Source organism: Homo sapiens, chromosome 14 (assembly GCF_000001405.40).
Source record: "Homo sapiens chromosome 14, GRCh38.p14 Primary Assembly".
NCBI lineage: Eukaryota > Metazoa > Chordata > Mammalia > Primates > Hominidae > Homo > Homo sapiens.
Genome location: NC_000014.9, coordinates 53,666,225 through 53,690,779, shown reverse-complemented (window position 1 = coordinate 53,690,779; position 24,555 = coordinate 53,666,225). Strand labels below are relative to the sequence as shown.

General features: G+C 37.3%; 2 long non-coding RNA genes across 8 annotated transcripts in view; one reads left to right on the top strand and one right to left on the bottom strand.

Moving 5' to 3' along the window:
- Positions 1-5,783, top strand: part of LINC02331 (long intergenic non-protein coding RNA 2331) — a 165,830-nt gene extending 160,047 nt beyond the window's left edge. For all 5 annotated transcript variants that reach the window (NR_184221.1, NR_184218.1, NR_184212.1 and 2 more), the window contains one exon: positions 4,172-5,783. This is a non-coding gene — a long non-coding RNA (long intergenic non-protein coding RNA 2331). The remainder of the gene's footprint in view (positions 1-4,171) is intronic.
- Positions 1-24,555, bottom strand: part of LOC105370504 (uncharacterized) — a 402,142-nt gene that overhangs the window by 32,014 nt on the left and 345,573 nt on the right. For 2 of the 3 annotated variants that reach the window (XR_001750975.3, XR_001750974.1), the window contains exon 3: positions 1,682-3,581. This is a non-coding gene — a long non-coding RNA (uncharacterized LOC105370504). Of the gene's footprint in view, positions 1-1,681; positions 3,582-24,555 lie in introns of those variants that run through there. The other variant, XR_943876.3, reaches the window with a different exon arrangement.

The following is a 24,555-nucleotide window of genomic DNA, read 5'->3' as shown; positions in this document are numbered from 1 at the left end:
TTTGGTTTTATATTGGGTCTATGATCCATTTAAAGATTATTGTTATATACGTTGAAAGGTATGGGTGGAGGGGCATTATTTTTTTTGTTCATGGAGATCCAAACATTATAGTACCATTTGTTGAAAGGGCTGTATTTTCTCCATTTAAATTAATGTTACACATCAATATTTTAAGAGCAGGACAGTTTAAAATAGTACCAAAACCTTGAAATACATAGGTATAAATCTAACAAAACATATTTACAATCTGTATGCTGAAAATTACAAAACACTGAGAAAGAAATTTTTAAAAGACCTAAACAAGAGATATACTGTGCTGATGAACTGGAAGGCTCAATATTGTGAAGACATTAATTCTTCTTCCCATACTGCTCTATGAATTGAAAACAATCCCAATCAAAGTCTCAGTAGGATTTTTTTCTTAAAATTGACAAGCTGAAGCTAAAAATTATATGAAAAATCCAAGGATCTAGAATACTCAAAATAATTTTGAAAGGGAGAACAATGTTGAAGGACTTACACTCTCTATTTTCAAGGATTACTAAAAGTTGCATTAATCATAAAAGTATGGTATTGGCAAATGGACATACACAGAGATCAGTGGAAGAGAATAGAATATGTAGATAGAGAGTCATACCACTAAATTTTGACAAGGATTCAAAGATAATTTAATGAAGAAAGTGTGGTATTTTCAATTAATGATGCTGAAACAACTAAATATCCGTGTTTCAAGAAATGAAACAAAACATGGGGCCAAGGTAAATAAAAAACTTAACAGGAACCCGAAAAAAAAAGTCACTTATCTCTGTAGATTTTTACTCCTTTTATACTACAAGTCTTCTTTTCTTAGCCTGTCAGCGTGATTCAAGAAAACAAAAGAACCCATCTTCCTATGAGATTCCAGGCTTCCAGAGCTTTTTTGACGTTGATAAAACATACATATTTTCTATGTCTATTGGCATTTGTGAATTGTCTTTTCATTTCTTTAGTTTTTCATTTGGAGTATTCATCTTTCCCTGATTGATTTATAAGAGCTTTTCACATGTGTAGACAATATATCTGTGTTTGACACATAGCATTCAAATATTTTTTTCCAGGTTTCTCATTTCTGTCCAATTTGGTTCATGTACTTTTTGACATACAGGGGTTTTCACTTTTATGTAGATAAGTATATAAATTTTTTTCTCTTTGGCTAAATTTGTTCAGAATTCTCTTGAAGAGCTTCAAATTGTCCATGAAACTTTCAGAGATGCATGTAAATATTAGAAGTAGGTGTACAAGTAAGCATTTTTTTAGGCGTTGAATCTGAAGCTTTTATCAGGTTCAATAGATTTCAACCAGTTCTGATATTTTCAAAGGGTCAAGAATCATGATATCATGTTGCTTATACTCTTATGCTTGAATAGGTGTTCACCAATCTGATATCAGATATTTATCTATATTACCTTCTAGTTTTTTATCTTAAATGTGTATATAATACATGTGGAAATTATGTTGGTGAATGACGTGAAGTAGAGATTCAAATTTACTTTCATTAAATTCAGTTATTTATCCCAGAACTATTCATAGAATAACTTTATCATATGTTATCAATTTACTCAATAAATATTTATAGATAGTCTGTAGTGAGGTAGATCTTGTTCTTGGTGGAGATATAATAAAGACTAGTAAAATCAAGTTCTTTGCCTTCAAAATGTGCACATTTTAATAGTAAGAATAATTAAATTAAATAGACATTATGCAGTGGTGAGTGCCAGCAGAGGGTTAGTAGAGGGTGATACAGAAAAATGCACAGAAGACACTTAACTGGTATATGGAATCAGGAAGATCCCCTTGGAATTTTGGGAAAATGAACAAGAGTTCATCAAGCCAAGAGAATCAGGTGGCATGTGACAGGAGGGAGAGTTACAGGAAGAGAAAATAGCAGGAACTAAGGCCCACAGGAACTGACAGATATTAGACCTAGCCCGAGTGCTTTTCCTTTTAAGCAATCTGGGTGTCCCACCTTTGTCCTTACACGTCTTACATCTCCAGGTTATGCCTAGGTGTTGGTGCCTGTTCCTTATGTTGCTTCTTATAGAATGTGAACTACTTCAATCCACATACCAGGTTTTCCTTCAGCAACAGGAAAATTTTCTCATCACGTATTTTAAAATTAGTTTATATTTCTTCTTTCAGACATTTTAAATTGCAAGTGGTTAAGGTTAGAATTCAAGGGCCTGAGCTTTGTAGTTGCCAGACCTGGCTTTCATTCCATCTTCAGCCTCTCTACTTAACAGCTGTATGGGTCAGGGCAACTTATGTTTAACTCTGTGAAGTCCAGTGTCTCCATCTATGAGCCAGAGATAATAACAATGCCTACCTCTTAGAGTTGCTGTGAAAAGCAAACTAAATTAAATAATACTTATAAAGCTCATAGCCCAATACCTGGAATATAGCACCTTTAAATGTTAACAATAACTGCAAGCTCTTAAGCTATTTAAAAATCACTTCAAAATTTGAAAAAATTAAAAACTATTTCAGTATGCAAGCTAAAACTAAAAATATATTTTGTCCACAGCCCCCTGACGGTTGGAGGCTTTTCAGAGAAGTCTTGAATAGAAGCATTATCCCTTTCTTGCAGAATGAAGGAGAGCAGAGTTCCTGGCTCTCAAAAATGCATCTTCTTGAGTAGTTTCCAAGCAACATTTCTTATAGTTGGGCATTCTGCAACCCCTCCCTTCCTTTCTCTTTGTAAATAGCTTGAAATCTTTTTTATTATTAATTTAATATTTATTTTATTAAAAACATATTAGCCAAAACAATTAGCTTGATTTAAACTTCCAACTGTTTTCCTGCCAAGGATGTTAGGAATTTTCATTATTCCCTTTGGGAATTTTGAGGCTGCTTTAGCCAGTTTAAGAACAGGGTACTGGTACACCAACGTTAATATTGGCTGTAAAACTTGCCTTAAATGAAAGGATTTGAAGTCCCATGCAAAGATATGCTGATTTAAGTAAGTTCTTAATAAAGAAGGGCCAAGCATGAAGTCTTATATTTTGAAGTCAGAAAGCATTATGCTCTGAAAGGCATAAAGTTTTGTTGCCTGACTTTAAAATGTGAATGTTTATTTGTTGTAGTTTGCGTTTCTGTATTAACCTGGTATTTCCTGAAATGGAAGATGAAACAAGGACTTGGGTACAGATGGCTTATATGGGGATGTGAAACAAGGTATGAACAACTAAGAGAAGAAAAATAGGGAAACGCAAGGCAAGAGTGTGCTATCGAGCTAGTCCTTTCCCTTGGTGGCCAAGAGTTGCCATGGGCAACTCCCTGACCCTTCCAGGTCTGTGTGTGCAACATGATGGCTAACCAGAATGCTGCAGGAGCACCATGACAGTGAAGCAGGGTGCTGTCAGGTCGTACCTGGATGCAGCTGGTTCCCATGGCAATGGCTGTTATGAAAAGGTGGGACAAGAGGATATGAGACAGGGCACAAGAAGAATCCAGTGCAGTCCACTGTTTGTATTGGTCAATTCCGGGTGCACCCTACTTCAAGTCCAAGCTGCCACAGAGCCTTTAAGATGATGACTGGCCCCAAGCTGTAAAATAACAATGCACAAAGTTAGTGAATAAGTGACAGACCCTGCTTCAGCCACTGCAATTAATATTCATCTCCTCCCTTTCTCTACTCCCTTCCCCCATTCTAGATTCCCTGATTTGACCAACATTTCAGCAGGTCTGGTTTCTTACATTGTGAGAAGAGACAGAACTTTATCTGTATAAGGTTGGAGCTTCAGTTGTTTCACTCTTGTTGAGCCATGGTTGCTGATCTCACCCACTTACAGTTACCAATGGGCATGGAATCACCAAGAAATGCCCTGGTGAATCTCTTGGGATCCAAGTGTTATCCTTCCTTTTTCAGTTGCTTAGAGATCAAAATATCTAGGTGGCAGTCAAATGTTACAAGTTTATTTAAACTCTTACGGTATCCCTAGAGAAGACTAACCTCTGAAACCAAGAATTAGGACTTTGAATTGAGCAAAGAAAGGATTATTGGGATAGGAAAGACAAATTTTATATGTTTCCAGTATCTGAAAACATTATTTACCATTTATACAATCCTGGCATTGACCAAAGCAAGCTGGTACGGTACCATGCACAAAAACTAATGGATGCTCTATTTGCACAGGTGCTACATACTGCAAAGCAAAGTATCTACAACAACTGCAATAAGCCACCCTGATCATTCTTCAACCTAAAGATTTGCAACTCATCCAAGTTCAACTGGTTGAAAGAGCCTGCCTCCTCACAGCAGTGCCTGATTGACACTATGAACTGAAATACTAAAGGCACTTCTTCTTTCAGGATAACTGATTAAATGTTCTGGCTGGTAAAGCAGGTCATCACTCAACTGTTGTGGCTTTGGCAAGATGCCACCAAAGCAGCCCATCATGGTTGGCAGAGATGTAAAGGCCCCACATATTACAGAACACCCTTTGATATGCAGACTAATTAATAGAAGACCTAAGCCTTTCAAGGGACTTCTATACCATAGGATGTTAGGAGACATCAAGAACACAAATGAAACTAAGATTTTCATACAGGGTTCAGGTTTTGTTACTTCAGATCTATAATCTAAAGTTCTGTAATCATCACATCACTCCAAGAACAAAATTTGATAGGCAAAATTCTTCACACTCATTTCATGGAGAACCTTGAGGGTCCAGAGTGAGGCTTGATGGCAAGCAGGAGCTCCCTGTCCCCTGTCTCCACCCATGCAACCCCTAGCTCCCCCATTGTTTTCACTCTAGATTTGTGAAGTATAACAACCTTAAAATCTTAAGATTTAATCTTTAAATATTAAGAGATTTGGGTTTCTGTATCAACAATCTTTAAATATTAAGAGATTTTTCCGAAGATTAATGACTTTCCTAGAGTTGGCCTACAAATTCACCACCTCAACTGGATGACTTGCTTTGGAATAAATTTCTAACACCGCAAGTGAATTGAATATTTTCTTCCTTTTTTATGTAATCTAATATAGTACATTTTTAAAAATTTATAGGATGTCCAGACACTTATAGCTTATCATTCTATGATTCAAAAGAATTTGGTATAATTGCATTGATAAGCTTACTGCCCTGGGCACCAAAGTAACCTAGAATATGGAGAAGTAGCTTTTGGTGACATGCATCTATTTATATCTCTAGCATTTACTAATTAATTAATTTGTTTAACAAATACACATTCAGTACCATTATATGTTTGGCATTGTCATAGATGTTAGAAAATCAAATATAAAAAAGAGGTAATTTCTTCACAACACACGGAAATAAGAGTATCTCTAGGAATTGTCTCTAGTTGAAATTGTTTTCTCCTACCCACCTCTACGATTCATCAATTTAGCTTTCCTTCACTGTAGTGACAGGTGTTTTAATCTCACCTAACAATATGCCTGATTAAGCTTCAACATACACAGAGAGAGGCCTGAAAAACATAACTTGGTCTCTATGTCTAAGTTTATGTTGTTAGTAATAGTTATAAGAGCCACAGCGATGGCACCATGGCGTTACCTTCTCTGAAGGCTTTCCCAGCTTTCCTAGCAAAGCTCTTTTCTCTTCCCTCTGGTTAAAAAATAAATAAAAAAAAAATAAAGGTTTTTCCTTTATTGTTATTCTTATGTGTCTGATTTTATCACATTTATTGTTTTGTTTTCTGATTGTATAAGTCATACATGCTCATTTAGAAAACTTGGAAACTATGGAAAAAGAGAAATAAAAAATAAAATCCACTCTAATCTACCTTGTTTCTATCTCTAAGGTAGCATTCGTCACTTTGGTATGAAGTTGATGTGAGTAGATCTGTCTAATCAACTAAATTTGGAGCTTCTCCTGAGAAGAACGCATGTATTCAGCTCTGTATTCCAGCTGTAGGAAGTGTGTGATGTATTGGAAACATCCCATAATTTTGAATAAGTAAGTGAATGAAAGTGTAGTCATAAACAATGACACTGGGATTAGTGAATTTTTACGTCAAATTGTATTTCCCTATTTCATATTAGCATGCATGCACGTGCATATGTATAATGAAGCTTTATAAAATTTTTTTTTGCCAAAACATACATAATATTCCCTAATAGCACAAAGGTGATCTAAAATAGTTATCAGTATCTTAAAACCTTGGCAGAATTTGAAAGATACAATTACATAATATCTGGGGCTAGGATTATTCAGCTGGACAATCGTTACTCATTTTCTGGAGAATGAAACTATAAATAAGGTTGTGTAAGTGACAAGTGAATTAGACATGAGTTCACTTGATGATCTTTGACTTCTAGAAAGGACTAGAAGTGAAATTTATCACAAAACTGTTTCTATTTCACATAAAATATTTTAAAGGAATAATATTTTTGTCTAAAGAGTGACTTGAATTGCAACATTTGACAGAAATTTCAGCAGCGTTTCCCATTTTCTTTCCATTTGGTTTTAACAAAGAAAAATCTTAATTGTCAAATTAACCAAAGATTGGCCCATACATAGAATCTGTGTTTGAAAGTGCATTATTCAGGCTCCACACAGCCTGAAGGAGACCCAAATGAAACCTCCACCGCCAGCAGTGACAGAATTGGGAAAGAAAATATTTTGGTGAAAACATTTTCTTTCAACATTTTATCTCACAATGAAATTCAATTTCCCCTTGGTGAATTCTTACATGTTTCAGTGTGTAGCTTTCTATACACTTACTACCCAATATAGGTTGGGTAGTAAGAGAACCTTTCTCCACATCAGCAGTCCCAGAGTGAAAGAGCCCTGGCAACTACAAAGAAGTTACAGACTTCAACTGCAGAATTGCTTATCTATCTTTAAGTCCTTTCTTCCAAGGATTTCTAAGCATTCGATGGGCACCATAATAGTTTGTTATTGACTTGATCAAAAGGTACTTTTAAAGTATTCACGGGATGTGGAGCCTTGCAGAGCTAACCATTTTAGTCTAGAGCTAAAATGATAACTGGCTGAACCCATACATGGGCACATAAAGTAAGGGAGACATTTCTGGGTTCACTTTTCAAAGGGAAACTGAATACTAAGATGCTAAACTCAGTTCCCATGGTAAATTTGTTCCAGAAATTTTTTTAAGAGCCCAGTTTCATATCTCACCTAGAAGTAGCTGATGAATAGAAAGAAAAAAAAAGCGTTAGGGAGTTGCTGATGTTGAAAGAGATAAGATTTACGGGTAGTTACACATTATACAGATGGGTAATTCGCATGTTGAGCCATCTAATCTTGAATTGGCTCAGACATGCCACAGCAAATTTTCTAGAAATCTAATGTTTCATTTATTGGAAAGAACCCAACGATCTAATCCTAACACAGTGTCACGTTTCACTGCTGAATAAGTCAATGCACAACATAGAATTAAGAGGCTCATTAATTATATGGTCATAAATTTGAGAGTGAAAAAGGCAAATTGGGTATTTTGGAGTAATTAATGGCTTTGGGGGATGAACAACCAATTTAGGGTGATTAACCAAATGAAAAGAAAAGCTCACCTAGGCTCTTTGGCAAAAAATCACAGTGCCTGTGACAAGGATGGGTACTTGTGTTGGCCACTTTTAATCCATATTTTTGGATAACCTTAAAAAATAGTCTTTAAAAGCCAAAAAGAAATAATTACAATTCCTAGCTTATATCAGCACATATGAGAAAACACCTGATATTTGTCAGGAACAAACGAATGGGTCAGCTTACCAGGGCTTACCAGACAGCTTTCTGCTCTCCATTTAGTAAGTCCCCTCATCCTGACTAGGCAATACTGTCATAAATACACACAGAGAAGGAAAGTCCAAAGGGAAAAGTGTTGTTGTGATAGTTTTCTAACTAAAAGAAATCATTCTAGAATTTAAGTTAAAAGATCACAAATACCTTTTCAATAGCCCAAGATGTCATAGCTCGGGATGGATCTATACACTTAAGTAAGTGTGGTGTCAATTACTGTAGACATCTCTTAGATTGTGTGGTGACTTATACCAAGGCTTATTTGTAAGGACAATGTTCTAGAAAGTCAACAAGTGGCTAACAAACTCTGTAACCAACTGTATGAATCTTAACAGTAACAACTCCTAAATTGAATGTAGTCCCAAATAATGGTGCACAAATCAAAAATAATTCCCAGTTTCATACCAGGAAAAATACAAACATCAAGACATGTGCAATACAATAGCAAGTTAAGAAGCTCTTGTGCACTGTTTTGAGACAGTGTGATTAAAGATGAATTCTAAAAATATCTTCAGTACAGACGAAAAACCAAACCAATTCATGCCTAATCTGGAAAAGCCTCCATAAAACATACATCTATACTGAAGAGCACAGCACCAGTCATTTCTTAAACTGCAAGCCATAGGTCTTCATTTGCAGTCGATGCTTTATTTTTGTTTTTTCAATGGAATGATGTTAAGGTCAAATCAATTATTTCAGGTCAAACATCTACTTTCCAAGATTCTTACATATCACTTATGCTTCCATTTTTCCAGTGGACACTGGAGCCAAGATCCCTGCCACTTGGTGCTGTCATGAACGGTCCCAGGGTAATTTCCCTGATGTGCAGGTGTGCCGCAGTGCATGGGCCGTCTCTGGAATCCAGCTCAACATTTGAACAAAGAGAGAAATTAGCTCGCCCTTTGCCCTCAGGAGAGGAAACCTGTGTCAGAAAATATCAGCCATGTCTCCAAGCTAAAACTGACCAAACCCCAAGCTTTAATTGTCGGATGGGCCCTTACATTCTGGAATGTCCTAAACTCCAGAATCTCACCACCACTGGTGCTGCACAAGGGGAAATGGGGGAGGCAGGCCTGTCTAAGGGGCCAGTCCATAGGGATACATGGCTAGAAATATCAGAAGGACTTCATTAGGGCAGCATGTCACCTATACAGTCACCTAATACAGTCTTCATGCCAGGGTCCCCCAAGGATTATGTTATAGAAATGTTCTAGTGAACTTCAAAAATTAGAGAAGGAATGCAGTGATTTATCCTAACAAGAGATAGTTCTATGTTCAGATGGAAAATCTGAGTTAAATGAACTTTGTGGGGGTTAGATACCTTCAGAGTAAAAGCTCACTTTGAATACAACATTACAGAAATGAAGGTGTATTTTATGTTGTATCAACCATCTTTTTGATGAGGGCAGCACTACCCGGACTAAGCTTCAGGCAAGATTGCAGGGTCTGGGACTTTAATTTAGAATTGAAGTATGTTAAAGCTGGAAGAATCCTTAGAAGCCTTCTGAGCCAGTTATTCCCAAACAGGTGCTTAAAAATCGTGTAGGGAGGCTACAGTAACCAAAACAGCATGGTACTGGTACCAAAAAGGAGATGTAGACCAATGGAACAGAACAGAGCCCTCAGAAATAATACCACACATCTACAACCATCTGATCTTTGACAAAACTGACAAAAACAAGAAATGGGGAAATGATTCCCTATTTAATAAATGGTGCTGGGAAAACTGGCTAGCCACATGTAGAAAGCTGAAACTGGATCCCTTCCTTACACCTTATACAAAAATTAATTCAAGATGGATTAAAGATTTAAATATTAGACCTAAAACCATAAAAACCCTAGAAGAAAACCTAGGCAATACCATTCAGGACATAGGCATGGGCAAGGACTTCATGTCTAAAACACCAAAAGCAATGGCAACAAAAGCCAAAATTGACAAATGGGATCTAATTAAACTAAAGAGCTTCTGCACAGCAAAAGAAACTACCATCAGAGTGAACAGGCAACCTACAGAATGGGAGAAAATTTTTGCAATCTATCTATCTGACAAAGGGCTAATATCCAGAATCTACAAAGAACTCAAACAAATTTACAAGAAAAAAACAAACAACCCCATCAAAAAGTGGGTGAAGGATATGAACAGACACTTCTCAAAAGAAGACATTTATGCAGCCAAAAGACACGTGAAAAAATGCTTATCATCACTGGCCATCAGAGAAATGCAAATCAAAACCACAATGAGATACCATCTCACACCAGTAAGAATGGTGATCATTAAAAAGTCAGGAAACAACAGGTGCTGGAGAGGAAGTGGAGAAATAGGAACACTTTTACACTGTTGGTGGGACTGTAAACTAGTTCAACCATTGTGGAAGACAGTGTGGCAATTCCTCAGGGATCTAGAACTAGAAATACCATTTCACCCAGCCATCCCATTACTGGGTATATACCCAAAGGAGTATAAATCATGCTGCTATAAAGACCCATGCACACGTATGTTTATTGCGGCACTATTCACAATAGCAAAGACTTGGAACCAACCCAGATGTCCATCAATGTTAGACTGGATTAAGAAAATGTGGCACATATACACCATGGAATACTATGCAGCCATAAAAAATGATGAGTTCATGTCCTTTGTAGGGACATGGATGAAGCTGAAAACCATCATTCTCAGCAAACTATCACAAGGACAAAAAACCAAACACCACATGTTCTCACTCATAGTTGGGAATTGAACAATGAGATCACATGGACACAGGAAGGGGAACATCACACACCGGGGCCTTTTGTGGGGTAGGGGGAGGGGGCAGGGATAGCATTAGGAGATACACCTAATGTAAATGATGAGTTAATGTGTGCAGCACACCAACATGGCACATGTATACATATGTAACAAACCTGCATGTTGTGCACACGTACCCCACAACTTAAAGTATAATAAAAAATATATATATATAAAAAAATCATGTAAGGAATTTGTTGACAATGCAGACTCCCAGGCTCCACCCTGGAGATGTTGACTCTGGGAATCTGCTTTGGTTCTGAAATGGGTGCTCTGTGAAATATCACTGGAGAAACAATATTAATTCCAACACCTGTGGTCTACAGAAAGGGAAGTTGAGAACCAGAGAGGGTAAGTGTATGCTCAAGGTAATGTAATAAAATATTGTCAGACATACTTCCCTCGTGGGGCAGAACACTTGGGGGCTGACACCTTAAGATGTGCGGAAACCAGCGTTCACCACTGCTCTTGACCGAATAGCCTCCTTGGCACCAAAACGGCTACTGCTTTTGTTAAGAGAAAAGTGAATTAGATGCTGCCCTTAGTTACATGGAAAAAAATGTTGTGAGTAGCAAGCGCTTAAGTGCCTTTTCTCTTATTGAAATATATTCATATGTATTCGTGGTATTCACCAGGAATCAAGAGGGCTAGATTCTAGTCTTCCCTGAGCCATAAGTTACTCTTAGGCAAGTCATCTTGCTGACTTTTACTTTGTGCATTGTTAATGACGAAGCTGGGCTAAGAGATCTCTAATATCTTTTCCAGACCTCAAATTATGAGTTTCACCACATGCAGAAATATCCAGCTTCCTTACTTTATTTTAGCCACTTGTCTTATGAATTCTAATAATTATACTAACAGTTAACAGTTCATAAGCACTAAGTGCCAGAAGTATCCTAAACATTTTACATAATTGTTTGCATTTAATCCTATAATAACCCAGTACTACTATACCCATTTTTCAGATGTGGAGACTGAGAAACAGAAAAGATAAATAACTTTCCTAAGATCATATAAATAACTTGTGAGTGGTAGAGCTGGAAAGAAATTAGATAACAGAAGTAAAAAAGGAGGGCAAACCATTATGATGGCATAATATATTTTAAATGTTAATCTTTTCTCAGCACTTTATTTTGCCCTTTGCCTTGCTCCATTTAAAATAGTTAGGCTTATCTGTGCTCATTACTTCAGATAATGAATATAACAAAGGAGCCTTTCTTCTGGCTTTTATCTTTCAATTGCTTAGGCTTTTAGAGGAACTGAAAAGAGGCACTCCAGACGATTTGAGAGAAAATATTAAGAGTGAAGTTTACACACAGACACCATACACAGGTGAGACAAATATAGGCGAAGCTTACGAAAGAGAAGACCCATAGAGAAGTAATGAGGCTGTGGGTATTGTGGTGTAGAGCAAGCTCTGAAGAGGTGGTAAAAATCTCTGAAGAGGTGGGAGCAACCCAAGAGCAGGGAGGCTTAAGGGTCATTTCTTGGGAGAGGCCAGAGTTGGGCAACCAAGACCCAGAGTAGAAATAGCCAGCATCCTAAATAGCCAGCATCCTTAACGCTCAGGCAAAACTTCCATGGTCTATCATGACACAGAAGCATCAGAATGTTTATCATTTGCCCAGGAGCAGCATCAAGTACACAGAGGACTGCTGGACCTAGAACGACACATCTGGAATACCCTGAGTGGACGAGTGGCAGAAGAGCAAATGGAGTAAAGGATATCTCACCGGCTATCTGCATGGACACATGACATTGAGGACTGTATGGACCCTTCATAATGCTAAGCACTCTTACTTGGCTGTAACTTGGGGGAAATTAGGTAAAACTCTATACTGATCAAAATTGGGTTTCTACCACCCTGATAGAATTTGGGTTCAAAATAGAAAACAATAAAATTTTATTTTCTGCATACTTGAGTTTGTGAAATGAGCTTTTCCCCCAACAGGGTAACAATAATTTCAACTTTTGAGAGGCAGTGACGAGCTTTGAATATGGTATGGTTTTGTTTTTGAGTTTATGTACTTCTATCATTTTGGTGAAAGGAAAATGCACTGATAAACCTCTGTCATACATGCATAGAGATAATAATCAGAGATCTATTAGATACAAACAGTAATGTTGACCGTTAAATAAAAACAGTTGCACCTATAGGAGTTAAAAATAGTTGGAAAATGTCCCTATTAGCTCAAACAATAAGGTGATGCTTCTGTTTCCAGCCATGGATACTCTGACTCCTGCACTAAAGAACTTACTAAGAATTCAGCAACCTCAATTTGTGGATTAGAAGAGAGTATTGTAAAGAGATAGAAAGTTGGGGGATATGGATTGGGGAAGGTCTCATTTGAGGTTAAACACTGAAAAGGTATTAAGAAAGAAGAGTGTGAGCTAGTACACATTTGTTAGTGTTGTCCATTAGGCCTAGGAGACCCCTGGACTTGGAAACATTGCCTGTGGATAACGTGAAACACTCATCTTTGAAATGTATTTGTCTCTGGTTTCTAACAAAAGATGGTACCATCTGTCTGCCAACCAGCAAAGGAAAGTTGTTTACAGGTAACAATTCTCAATGCCCTATTTTATTTTTTATGTCTATGTTTTAATGATGAAAAAAATACTAATGTTGGGACTTCTGTTTCAAAAACCTTGGAGGAATAGGAACTGAATTTGCCTTTCTATCTTAACCATAAAACAGGACAAAATATATAAAACAATTAGTTTTAAAACACTGGGCATGAGACAAGGAAGGAAAATGATCACTGAGTGAAAGAAAACAAACTGAGTCCTTTTATTGCTCCAGCTTACTGCAAAGAGGCAGTTTCCAGAACCTGGCAGACTCCCTGAGTTGAGAAGGAGCTGGGAATCCAGGGAGACCAAGGGAGCTAGAATTTGCCTAGCAGAACACTGGGAATGAGAGCTGCACAGAGAACTCTGGAGATCTGTAGAGGATGACCCTCAAGTGCACACAGCATATACAGTGAGGAAATTACACAAGGCCTGAGAAAGAACCACCTGAGAGGGTGATAAAGAATTAGACCTGGCATTTCCACAGGACTTGGAATACTGTCTTTTCTCACCAGCAAAACTGGGGTATTGGGTTGTTTTCAGAAGAGTTTGCCTCAGTAGTGGTAAATAATTCACCCTAGACAAAATATGACTCTGGTCTCACCTAACAAATCTTAAAAGCAAGTCCTGAAAAGATCAAACTATTTCCAGATAACTGTGTTCCAGACCAAAGCTTGAAAATATTTAGAGGAGGCCAGGCACAGTGGCTCATGCCTGTAATCCCAGCACTTTGGGAGGCCGAGGCGGGAAAATCACGAGGTCAAGAGATTGAGACCATCCTGGCCAACATGGTGAAACCCCATCTCCACTAAAAATAGAAAAATTAGCTGGGTGTGGTGGCACATGCCTGTAATCCCAGCTACTCAGGAGGCTGAGGCAGGAGAATCGCGTGAACCCAGGAGGTGGAGGTTGCAGCGAGCCAAGATCGCACCACTGCACTCCAACCTGGGCAACAGAGCAAGACTCTGTCTCAAAAAAAATAATATAATATAATTAATATAATATAATATAATATAATATAATAAAGAAAATATTTAGAGGAATACCAAAAGTTTCAGCCCCCATCAAGGTAAAATTCACAATGTCTACCATCTAATCAAAAATTATCAGACATACAAAGAAACAGAAAAATACAACCTATAATGAGAAGAAAAAACAATCACTAGTAACTGACACAGATATTGGAATGAACAGACAAAGATATTAAACAGTTGTTAAAATCATATTCCATATGTTCAAAATTTTATTAGAGACGTCAGCGATTTTAAAAGGAACAATATCAAACTTTTGGAGATGAAAACTACAACGTTTGAGATGAAAAATACACTGCATGGGATTTATGGCAGATAAAATATTGCAAAGTGAAAGATTATTGAACTTGAAGACATAGAAATAGAAAGTTTTCAAAATGAAAAACAGAAATAAAAAATAATTTAAAAAAAATGAAATGAGGACAGAAAAAATATTTGAAGAAATAATGACTAAAATATTTCAACTTCATTGAAAACTAGAAACCCACAAAACCAAGAGGTTCAACAAACCCCGCACACAACAAACATTAAGAAAACGTCACTGTAGCATATCAAAATCAAATTGCTCAAAACCAGTTTTAAACAGAAAATCCTAACAGTGACCAGAGAAAAAAAATCAGACATGTTACTACAGATAAACAAAGATAAGGATGCCAGTAGATTTCTTATGAGAAACTGTGTTAGTCCAAATCCAGTGGAGTAATATCTTTAAAGTATGGAGAAGGGCTAACCCAAACAATCAATCTGGAATTCTAGGCACAGTAAAAATATTTTTCAAAAAGAAAGCAACTAAAAGCTTTTTTAGACATACAAAAGCTGAAAGACTTACAGTAGATGAAATAGTAAATATTGTCCTTCAGGCAGAAGGACATAATTCTAGTTGGAAATATGCATCTACACAAAAGAAGGAAGAACAGCTGAAATAGTAACTACGTGAGTAAATCCGTAAGGTTTTGTTCATAATATTTAATTCTCTTAAAAAATATTTATTATTTATTCAAAATAATAAGGTGTTTTGTGAAGATTATAACATGTGAAAATAAAATATATGACAAAATATCACAAAGGCCAGGATGGGAGAAGCACACTCTTGTAAGGTTCTTATGCTATATGTGAAGTGACATGTGAAGGTAGGCTACACTAACGCAGAGGGTATCATATGAGCCCTAAAGCAATTACCAAATTAACAAAAGAAAGAAGTTGTAGCTAATAAGCCAAAAAAAGAAGTTAAAGTCATTAAAAATGGGTATTTAAAAATGCTTGATTCATTAAAAATAAAACAAAAAAAAACAAAGGCAAAAAAACAAGAAAAGAAGAGTAAAGAGCAGATGGGAGAAACAGAAGAAATAGAGAACCACATCTGATTGTGGTGATGTCTTCATACATGTAGACATGTCAAAACTTATCAAAATGTATATTTTAAATATGTGCAGTGTATTGTATTTATGTGTCAATGAAATTGTTGGAAAAAAATAATTCGCAAGCTATTTGCACTATGGAAATCGCTTTATACATCAGTTAGAAAGGAAATTATGAGGAGTTGGATTGTGCCCCCTTCCCAAAATTCGTAGGCTGAAATCCTTACCTCTAGTATCTCAGAATGTTTGGAGATAGAGTGTTTACAGAGATAATCAAGTTTGAGTTATGTTATTAGAGTAAGCCCTAATCCAATTAATCCAATATCATTGATGTTCTTATCAAAAGGGGAACTTAGGATAAAGGCACCATCTTAGTTTGTTCTGCCATAATAAAATAAAATAGACTAAGTAGCTTAAACGACAGATTTTTTTTTTTTTTCTGAGACAGGGTCTCACTCTGTGTCCAGGCTGGAGTGCAACTGCACGATCATAGCTCACTGCGGCCCCAACCTCCCAGGCTCAAGCCATCATCCCACCTCAGCCTCCCAAGTCACTGAGACTACAGGTATGTGCCACCACACCTGGCTACTTTTTAAATTTTTTGTAGAGAAAGGGTCTCTCTATGTTGCCCAGGCTGGTCTCAAACTCCTGGGCTCAAGTGATTCTCCCACCTCGGTCTCACAAAGTGCTGGGATTACAGGGGTGAGCCACGGTGCCTGGCCCAGAAATTTACTTCTCAAGGTTCTGGAGGCTGGAAAAGCCAAGATCAAGGTTCCAGCAAGGTAGCTTCATTCTGAGGCTTCATTTCTTGGCTTATACGTGGCTGCCATCTTGCTCTGTGCTCACATGACTTCTGTATGCATATGTGAGAGACAGAGCAAGCTCCATGGTCTCTCTTCTTGTAAGGGCACTAATCCCATCAGACCAGAGCCCCATCCTCATGACCTCCCAAAAGCCCCATCTCCACATACCTTCCAATTGGATATTAGGTCTTCAACATATGAATTTTGGGGGGTACACAAGCATTCAGTCCCTATGCACACACAGAGGGAGAACACCTCGTGAACATGAACATCATCTGCAAGCCAAGGACAGAGGCCTGAACAGCCTTCAGAAGGAGCCAACCCTGCTGACAGCTTTATTTTGGACTTCTCACCTCCGGAACTGTCAGACAATAAAATGTGTGATGTTTAAGTTATCCATTTTATGGTACTTTGTACAGAAGTTTTGTAAAAATAATACATAAATGTAACTAATAAGAAAACTTTACTGAATCATCAGGAATCTAGAGATATTACACAGTATATAACCTCTTCAACTCTTCGTACAAACAAAAACATTCCTGGTCCAGCCATATTCAAAGTAGCTTCTTCTATAGCAAGAGGTCTTCTAGTACTCAACTCTGATAGGGAAAGAGATCAACGTGGAAAGATACTGCTCTTTTCTTTCATCCTTAAAGGAAGATGATTTAATTCTTTATTCCTTATTCACATCTTAAGAACCCACAAAAACTGCTACAATATATAATTGTATATATTATAATTGCATATACTTGTATATACAAATATATAATTGTATATGTAATTGTATAATTGTATATATTGTAGTATTAATACAGACATTCACATATAACAAAAGTTCTATAAAACCTTTATATCCCTTTAAAATCCCCATTTCTAAATTGATAATAACAAACACAACTTTGTAAAATCCAAGACAACAGTATGTGCACATTATACTTTATATTAAACCAATTAAACTTAACAAGTGGTATAGAGTTACTGTCTAAAGACTTGAAGACTATCAACTAGCTGAAATTACCTATCTAAGATTAAATAGCCGTCTATATTCCAAAAATGTGCTTCCTAAGACTTAACTAGCAAGTCCTGAAAAACTATAGTGATATCCTCCAGATAAGACTCAGATATTTGTTTTCTGAAAGCTGATTGGAATGTTGCATTGTATTCCATAACCAAACCCTTTGGCGAAGAAACAACTTCTTGTTTACATTTTTTTTCCTTGTTTGTCTAAGAAAATGCGTGCTTCTCACTAATATGCAAAAGCCCTCAAACAGTATACCTTATAGGAGAAAGTAGAGATTGTACCAAAAAAATAAAAATAAAAAAAGGAAAGAGATACCATGAGAAATATTTTGCATTAGTGCAGCCTCTCATACATAGTAGGCACTGTTTTTTAAAAAAAATCTTTCATTATTAAAGTTTATATGAAGGAAGGGTATCTTATTTCAAACCGAGTAAGTTGAATGAGAGCAAACGGCTTCCTTCTTTAATAGTATCTGATATTTAGTTTGTACCTGACATAACCCTTTCAAATACATTATGTTTTTTGGCTTTGCAACAAACCTTATGAGATAAGTACGATTAAGCCAAATTTACAGAAAGAGAAACAAACTCAGAAAGATTATACAGCTGGTAAGATCACCTAGGTAGGAAATGGCAAAGTTAGACTCAAACTCAGGTTTCTAATTCCACATCCTGTGCCTTTCACTTTCCTTCCAGGCCATACGGAAGCCTATCTCTCACACCACATCTTTCAGGGTGGTTTGTCAACTGGGTTTATGTTACAATAAAATATAACTTTCCTGCATAATCCCTTGATCTTGAACTGTTGTAATTGATCAAGGCCTATTTGTTGCCTGAGTATAAATGGAGGCAAATAATATACTTTGATCTCCTTACACAGGATCTGCTTCCAAGTATGTTGCACAAACTTGCTAAATATCATCTAATATTAAAGTGGCAGAAAAACATTTTATTCCATTTATTTTTATTTTTTTGCTCAGCTAGAATGGCCAAGAAGAAGCCAATGAATTATAGTTGAATTTGTATTTATAAATGTTATCACCAAGAAATTGTTAGATTTGATGTTATCATTTCTGTAATTACAGAAGAAATATCCACTCCACTGGAAGTTACCACAATATGAGAGTAATTGCTATGCCATTACAGAATAGTTGCATGATATGGTTATTCTTGTCACAGAAACTATAAATTATGTACTAAATGTAATATAATTTATAATGAAAAACTTAACATGGCTTAAAGTAGCTGCTGAACCAAATAGAACTCTGTGGTTGTTGCAAAGTAATTACGTAATTATTTAAGCCTCACAAACTTAGAAATTACAAAGTACTTATGAAAAGCATTACCACGAGAAGCTAAATGGAACTTAAAATAGTTACCAACCTAATTTGGGTGATGTTTTTTGTTGTGCTAAATGGCAATCCCATCATTATCTTTTTCTGAGACAGCATCTAATGTATTTTCCCAAATGCTTCCAATTTGTCTTTATTCATACAATCCTAGACTCTTAAGTTTCGAAGAAAACATTTAAACTAATTCTCTACCCAAACCATGATTCTCTTCTACAGCATTCAGACAACTAGTTATTGGGTTTCTTCCTTTAACCAACGCAGCCCAGAACTGCATAAATAAATAAGGTGGGTCAATTGGCTACGATTCTTTGGTTGCATGTGATAGGAAACCCAATTCACACTGGTGTAAGAGAGAAAAGAAATTTATAAGCTCATGTAATTGAAAAGCCCAAGGTTATTGGCTCTGAACCTGGCTTGATCTGGGCGTTAAAATTATGTTCTAAGTATTCAATTTTAAAAAAGAAAAATCTGCTTGAGTTTCTCTGTTGGGTCTCTTCTCAGATAGGCCCTTACCTTACAGGGGCAAGCTGTTCATCAAAAGCTCCAGACACAACCTACCAGCTCAGCAATTTCAGTGGAGAGAACTTCTTCCCAGTGGTTCTGTGAGAGACCTGAAATGTTCTGATTAGGATGTTCTGTATCACATGCCCTTCCCTGAACCAGTCACTATATACAGGTATTTTCATAATCTAAATCTTGGTCACATGGATATCCCTAGAACCAGCAGAGCTGGGTCATTGCCAAAGGCTTACTATGGTATTAATGAAAGAAGAAAGAATGAAAGCAGAGCGAAGAAGCACAACAGATTTCCACACCAGGCAAGATGTATTATCCTTCCTCTAATAAAGATATTCCTCTTCTTTCTCTTTTATCGTGGAGGAACTCTGGGAGATGAGTTCTGGTAAATATAAACTGGATCTGGTCAACAAATTGGCTGAGTTAGAAGCTGACATCCATACTGTTGGCATTTACCATGAACACAACCAGAAGAATAATTACGAGTTTACAGAAGCCCTTTTATTTTTCATCCAAAATGCAGTTACTCTGGACACAGTGTTCTTTAGCCTCAATCCACAGAGCATTGATTCACCAGCACCAAGCTTTCACAAGTACTAAAAATTTTTTTCTATCTTCTTTTTAAATAGTAGCTATGCATGACTCAGGATCTCTGATGACACCACTCATAGTCCACAGAACACTCTGGTGAACCACAAGCCCTGATATATACATACTGATGATCTGAGAATCACAGGGCTGAGGGGAGGAGCATCTTATACTCATGTGGATGAAGGAGTAAATTATATGGTGCTAGAAATCTTGCCACTCTAGTTCTCAGGTGTAGCAGGAATCTATTATTCCTTCTGGCTGCCATGCATCTAAACCTCACCTCCATTTGGCAATATCTACTTTGTCGGTTTTGGTGGGAGGTACAGACATCTATCAACATAGAAGCTAAAAATGCTCCAAACTCACTTTCCCAGGCGCCATTGTTGGTCATGTGTGGGTGTGTGACCTTGGCTCCTCCAGTCAAATGCATCTTTGAATAGGGGACCAAAGATGAAAGGAAGCAAGGATTGAGAAGAATCTTTCCTGGCAGAGAGGGCCATTGCTATGATGAGATCAAGTTCTTGGGGCAACAGAGGAGCAGTGCCAGCATCTGTGTCCAGTGTCTGAGATCCATTGTATCACAGCTTAAGTGCAGGCCTAGGGCACAGTGACAGCAGCTCTGCAGCCATCCTTCCTGGACCCATCTTGCAGTGCAATTTTGGTATATTGTTCCTGACTGCAGCACCTCTGGGCCTGGACTTTCAACTTTTGCAAAGTTCCTATGGGCTCCTCGTTAAGTTTTCTTTTTTCTGAAACAATCCAGAGTCAATATCTGTTGCTTGCCTCCCCACACCCTGGCTGATATTGAAGTTCTCATTGTATGCAGCCTCAGGGCTGGACGTCTGTCTAGAAAGGTTTTCCAGTACAGTGGTTAAGGGGACGAATGCAATTCTGTCTCTGTCGCATAATTCTATGATTTTACTTAAGATATAGAACTGTTTTCATTCACAATCCTCTTAGCTGAAAATGCAGATAACAGTATCTAATTCCTAAGATTTAGGTAAGGCATTGTAAAGCATTTAGCATATCTCTTGAACTTGGTAAAGTCTCAACGTGGGTTTCTAAAATTATTAAAGAATTCTTCATAGTGTTGGGGCATGGCTTCTGGGTTACAAGAAGAGGTGGCATTTACTATCATAGAGGGATAAAATGAGGAATTTATATTTAAAAGTCAAAATTCTGTCATCAATAATATTTAAGCAGTTCTAAATTTTATAATTTCCTAATCTATTTAAACAAGTGTATTAGAAGTAGCAGCCTTGGTAAAAGGTAAGGGAAGCTCTGGTTAGCAGGAAGGTGACTTCTGTGTGCTTCTGAGGTATTTCCCTGTTAGGGGGTGAGTGCCCTCCACTGGCTTAGCTAATGGTTTTATTTCTATAAAGGAAAAAAATATCGAGATTGTGATTCTCATTATTTACTGTTTAATGTGCCTAATGGGTCTGGTTAGATATGGGTGTATAGCTATGGAACAGACAAGGATGGCTTATGAATCCTGAGAGCAAGGGTGACCTCGCAACTGAGTAGAGAGAAAAATAACACCACAGTGGTGCCTGGGCTACCCCTAGATGGTAGAAGGGAATTTTCAATCCTACATTCGCCTTCCCAAAACTTGCTGATTGACTCCTGTTTTGCTATGGAATTTTACTGCGAAACCAAAAACGTATGTGCTTATTTTCCTTTTGGACTATAATTATAGCAGAAAATGCTCGCCCATCTCTTGCAGGCATACCCCCCCAATACTCATGCAACTGTACCAGAAATTGGAGATGACAGCCATGGTCGAAGGATTGAGAAGGAAGAGAGGGGGGAAAAAAGCCCATGTTACTAAGTTAATAACCAGAAGAACATCTAAATAGGGGCAGCTCTCTTGCAATCCCACGTACTATTTCTTAAACAGAGTCATTTTGTGGTTTGTAATCAAGTGTCTGAATTCAGAATTTATAGGCCCCAGGATGGTAAGTGTGGTTATATGGTATTTAGCAATTTTATGTGGTGTTGTGCTAAATATGGAAACGTCAGAAAAGTATTTTGGTGCTTTTCCTTAGAGTCTACTCTGAAAGTTAGGTTGGGTGACAGCTAAAAAAACCACCCGTCTGGCAAGAGATATTCAGGTTTATCTGCCTGTGAGCTTTAATTTCGTTGGAGAATCGTCTCTTTAGAATATGTCTAAATTAACTTCTTTTTGCTCATGAAATTGCATGTATTTATCAAAATCTTGAAGTACCTAATACATGGAGATGAACTTCTACTTCATATGAAAGAAGAGGATTTCCTAATAGTTACAAACTGGTCAAGGAAAAGTCCTGGGTTGAGGGTGTGAATGAGTAAAAGGCCAGAGATATCTTTATCATCCCCGGAGGGTTTTAGCGCAGCATAGTCTCACTAGGCAGGGCCTTGGGCTCTAAAATTATTTTCCAAAGTGTCTGGGGGCAAAGACATACAGTGAAAGGAATTTAGAGTCTGATAGTCTGGGGTCCAAAGGTTTGCTCTGCCACTCACTAATATGGTATTTGAGCAAAAATATTCAGTGATACATATTAGTCCTTCTAATCTTAAGATTCAATGATGGAATTATAGGTTTGCTATAAAATAAAAATGTTCACATTTTTTATACCAAATATCACTCTTTCAGTATTTATGGTGGTCTAGAAATTCCAAAATCAATGATATTTTAAATTATCTTTTAATTCCGTTTAAAAACCACCCAAAGTATTCAATGTGTTTCCTCCGAGATCGCACCTCATTTTTGCTCCCCAAGCACATGAGTGTGCCCCAATCTCCCACCATTTCCAACATATTTTATTCCAAAAGTCTTTTAACTGTCTTTAAAACTCAAATTCATCTGAAAGTACAAAGATGTATTAGTGAGTACATTAGATGAATCTACCTTAGGTTTTAAAGCATTTCTCAAAAAATATTTTGAGTCAAACAGCAGAATTAGAATATGAGCTTTAGTGCCAGATTGGAGTTGGATTGACCACTGGCTCTGGCACCAGCTGACCTAGCTGTTATCTCTTTTGGACAAGTTAATTACTTAGTTTTCTCATCTGTAAAATTAGGATAATAATGCTTACCTCCTAGGAATGCTGCAAAATTTGAGATAATAAAGCATTCATAACAGGATCCAACACATGGCAGACACTCAATAAATTATAACAAAACAGAAATGGCAATATCATTATCCTAAGTATACAGTTGTCTAAGATAACTATTTGGGGACGAAAAAAGATACTTGTTTACGTGTATAAGTTGTAGTGTTTTCAAGAATCAAGTTTATTCCCTTTTAGTTAAACCGACTATGAACTAATATAGAAGTTATATACTGCAAAGTTACATATTAGGAAGAAGGATCTATCAGACCTTCTTAGATGAGGATTTCTGAAGAGAAAATAGTTCCATTTCTAATTCATTTATGCATTCACCAATTCAACAGTACTATTAAATATAATCACTTCTGCAACTTATTCAGAACATTCATGCATACTTAGCTTCACAGAGGATTGCCAAGTTGCCATCTCCTATTCCAATGAGAAGTCCTGAGAACAACTGAAATGTGAAACAGGTTTTCTTACTATAGAATGATACAAATAACTGATATAAAACAATGTTAAATCTGTGCTTGTGATGTGAAATTGACAACTACTCCTTCCCTTTCCCTGCCCCAAAGTTCCTGGCCTTAACACTGTTCAGTACCTGCCCTGAGGATGATGCAGAAGTTGGGAGTTCTTCCATTGGGTGTTTCTTGCTTGTGTGGCTGCTGTCTTTCCAGTGTTCTATCCCCTGGGTTCCAGAGGACAGGAGGAACTTCTGCCTGCCCTCAGTCCTTTCCTGTCCATCTTTCCTGGATTACAGATAGAGCCCTCTCATTCTTAAGGCGACGTGTCTTCATGTTTTTTTTTTTCATCTCTCACAATCACCATCACACTCGTGGTCACCATCTGCTTTTCCTGTGACCTCCATGACATTTTCTTTGCTGATCAGTCATTCTGGTCTCCCCTTCACTTGCTCCACTCAGCCTCTTCCCGCTGTCTTTCTTCATGGAATGTATCAAAGTCAGATGACCCATTGTTTGAAATCTGCCACATTTTGCAACATAGCATTCTAAATGATGTGAGTGAGAAATATGTAAAAGTTTTGGATAATATAAAAAGTGGGAAAACAATTAGTTTGGCCTAGACAGACCTATGCAGATTTCCAGAGGAGCTAGGACTTCAACATGAACAAGAACACAACAAAGAAAGGAGGAAAAGGAATTTCATGCAGAAGGGATGAAAAAAGGCATGAAAATATGAAAATTCAGAAAAGAATATTCAGTATTAGTGATGTGTTTGTTACATGTGCAGTGAAGAATAATTGAAGATGAGACTGGGAAGGGGAATTGGGACCAAATCACAAGCAGCTAAATAGAGCAGTCTACAGGGGTCACATTTATCCTGTTGGCAAGGGGGTCTGTTAGAAATGGGAGGCACATGATAGAGCTGCACTTTTAAGATGAAGATGACTGGGCATGGTGGCTCACACCTGTCACCCTAGCACCTTGGGAGGCAAAGACAGGAGGATCAATTGGGCCCAAGAGTTCGAGATCAGCCTGGGCAATATAGAGAGACCCTGTCTCTAAAAACAAAACAAAACAAATACAAAAAAAGAAAAAAGAAAAGAAAGGATGGTGGTGTTAGCCCTGTGGGGGCAAAGTAGAAAAGAGTGTAGAGATAGGGAAATTTCTCAAGAGGTAGTTGAGAGATCCAAGCTAACAAGAAGGAGGTCTTCGACCATG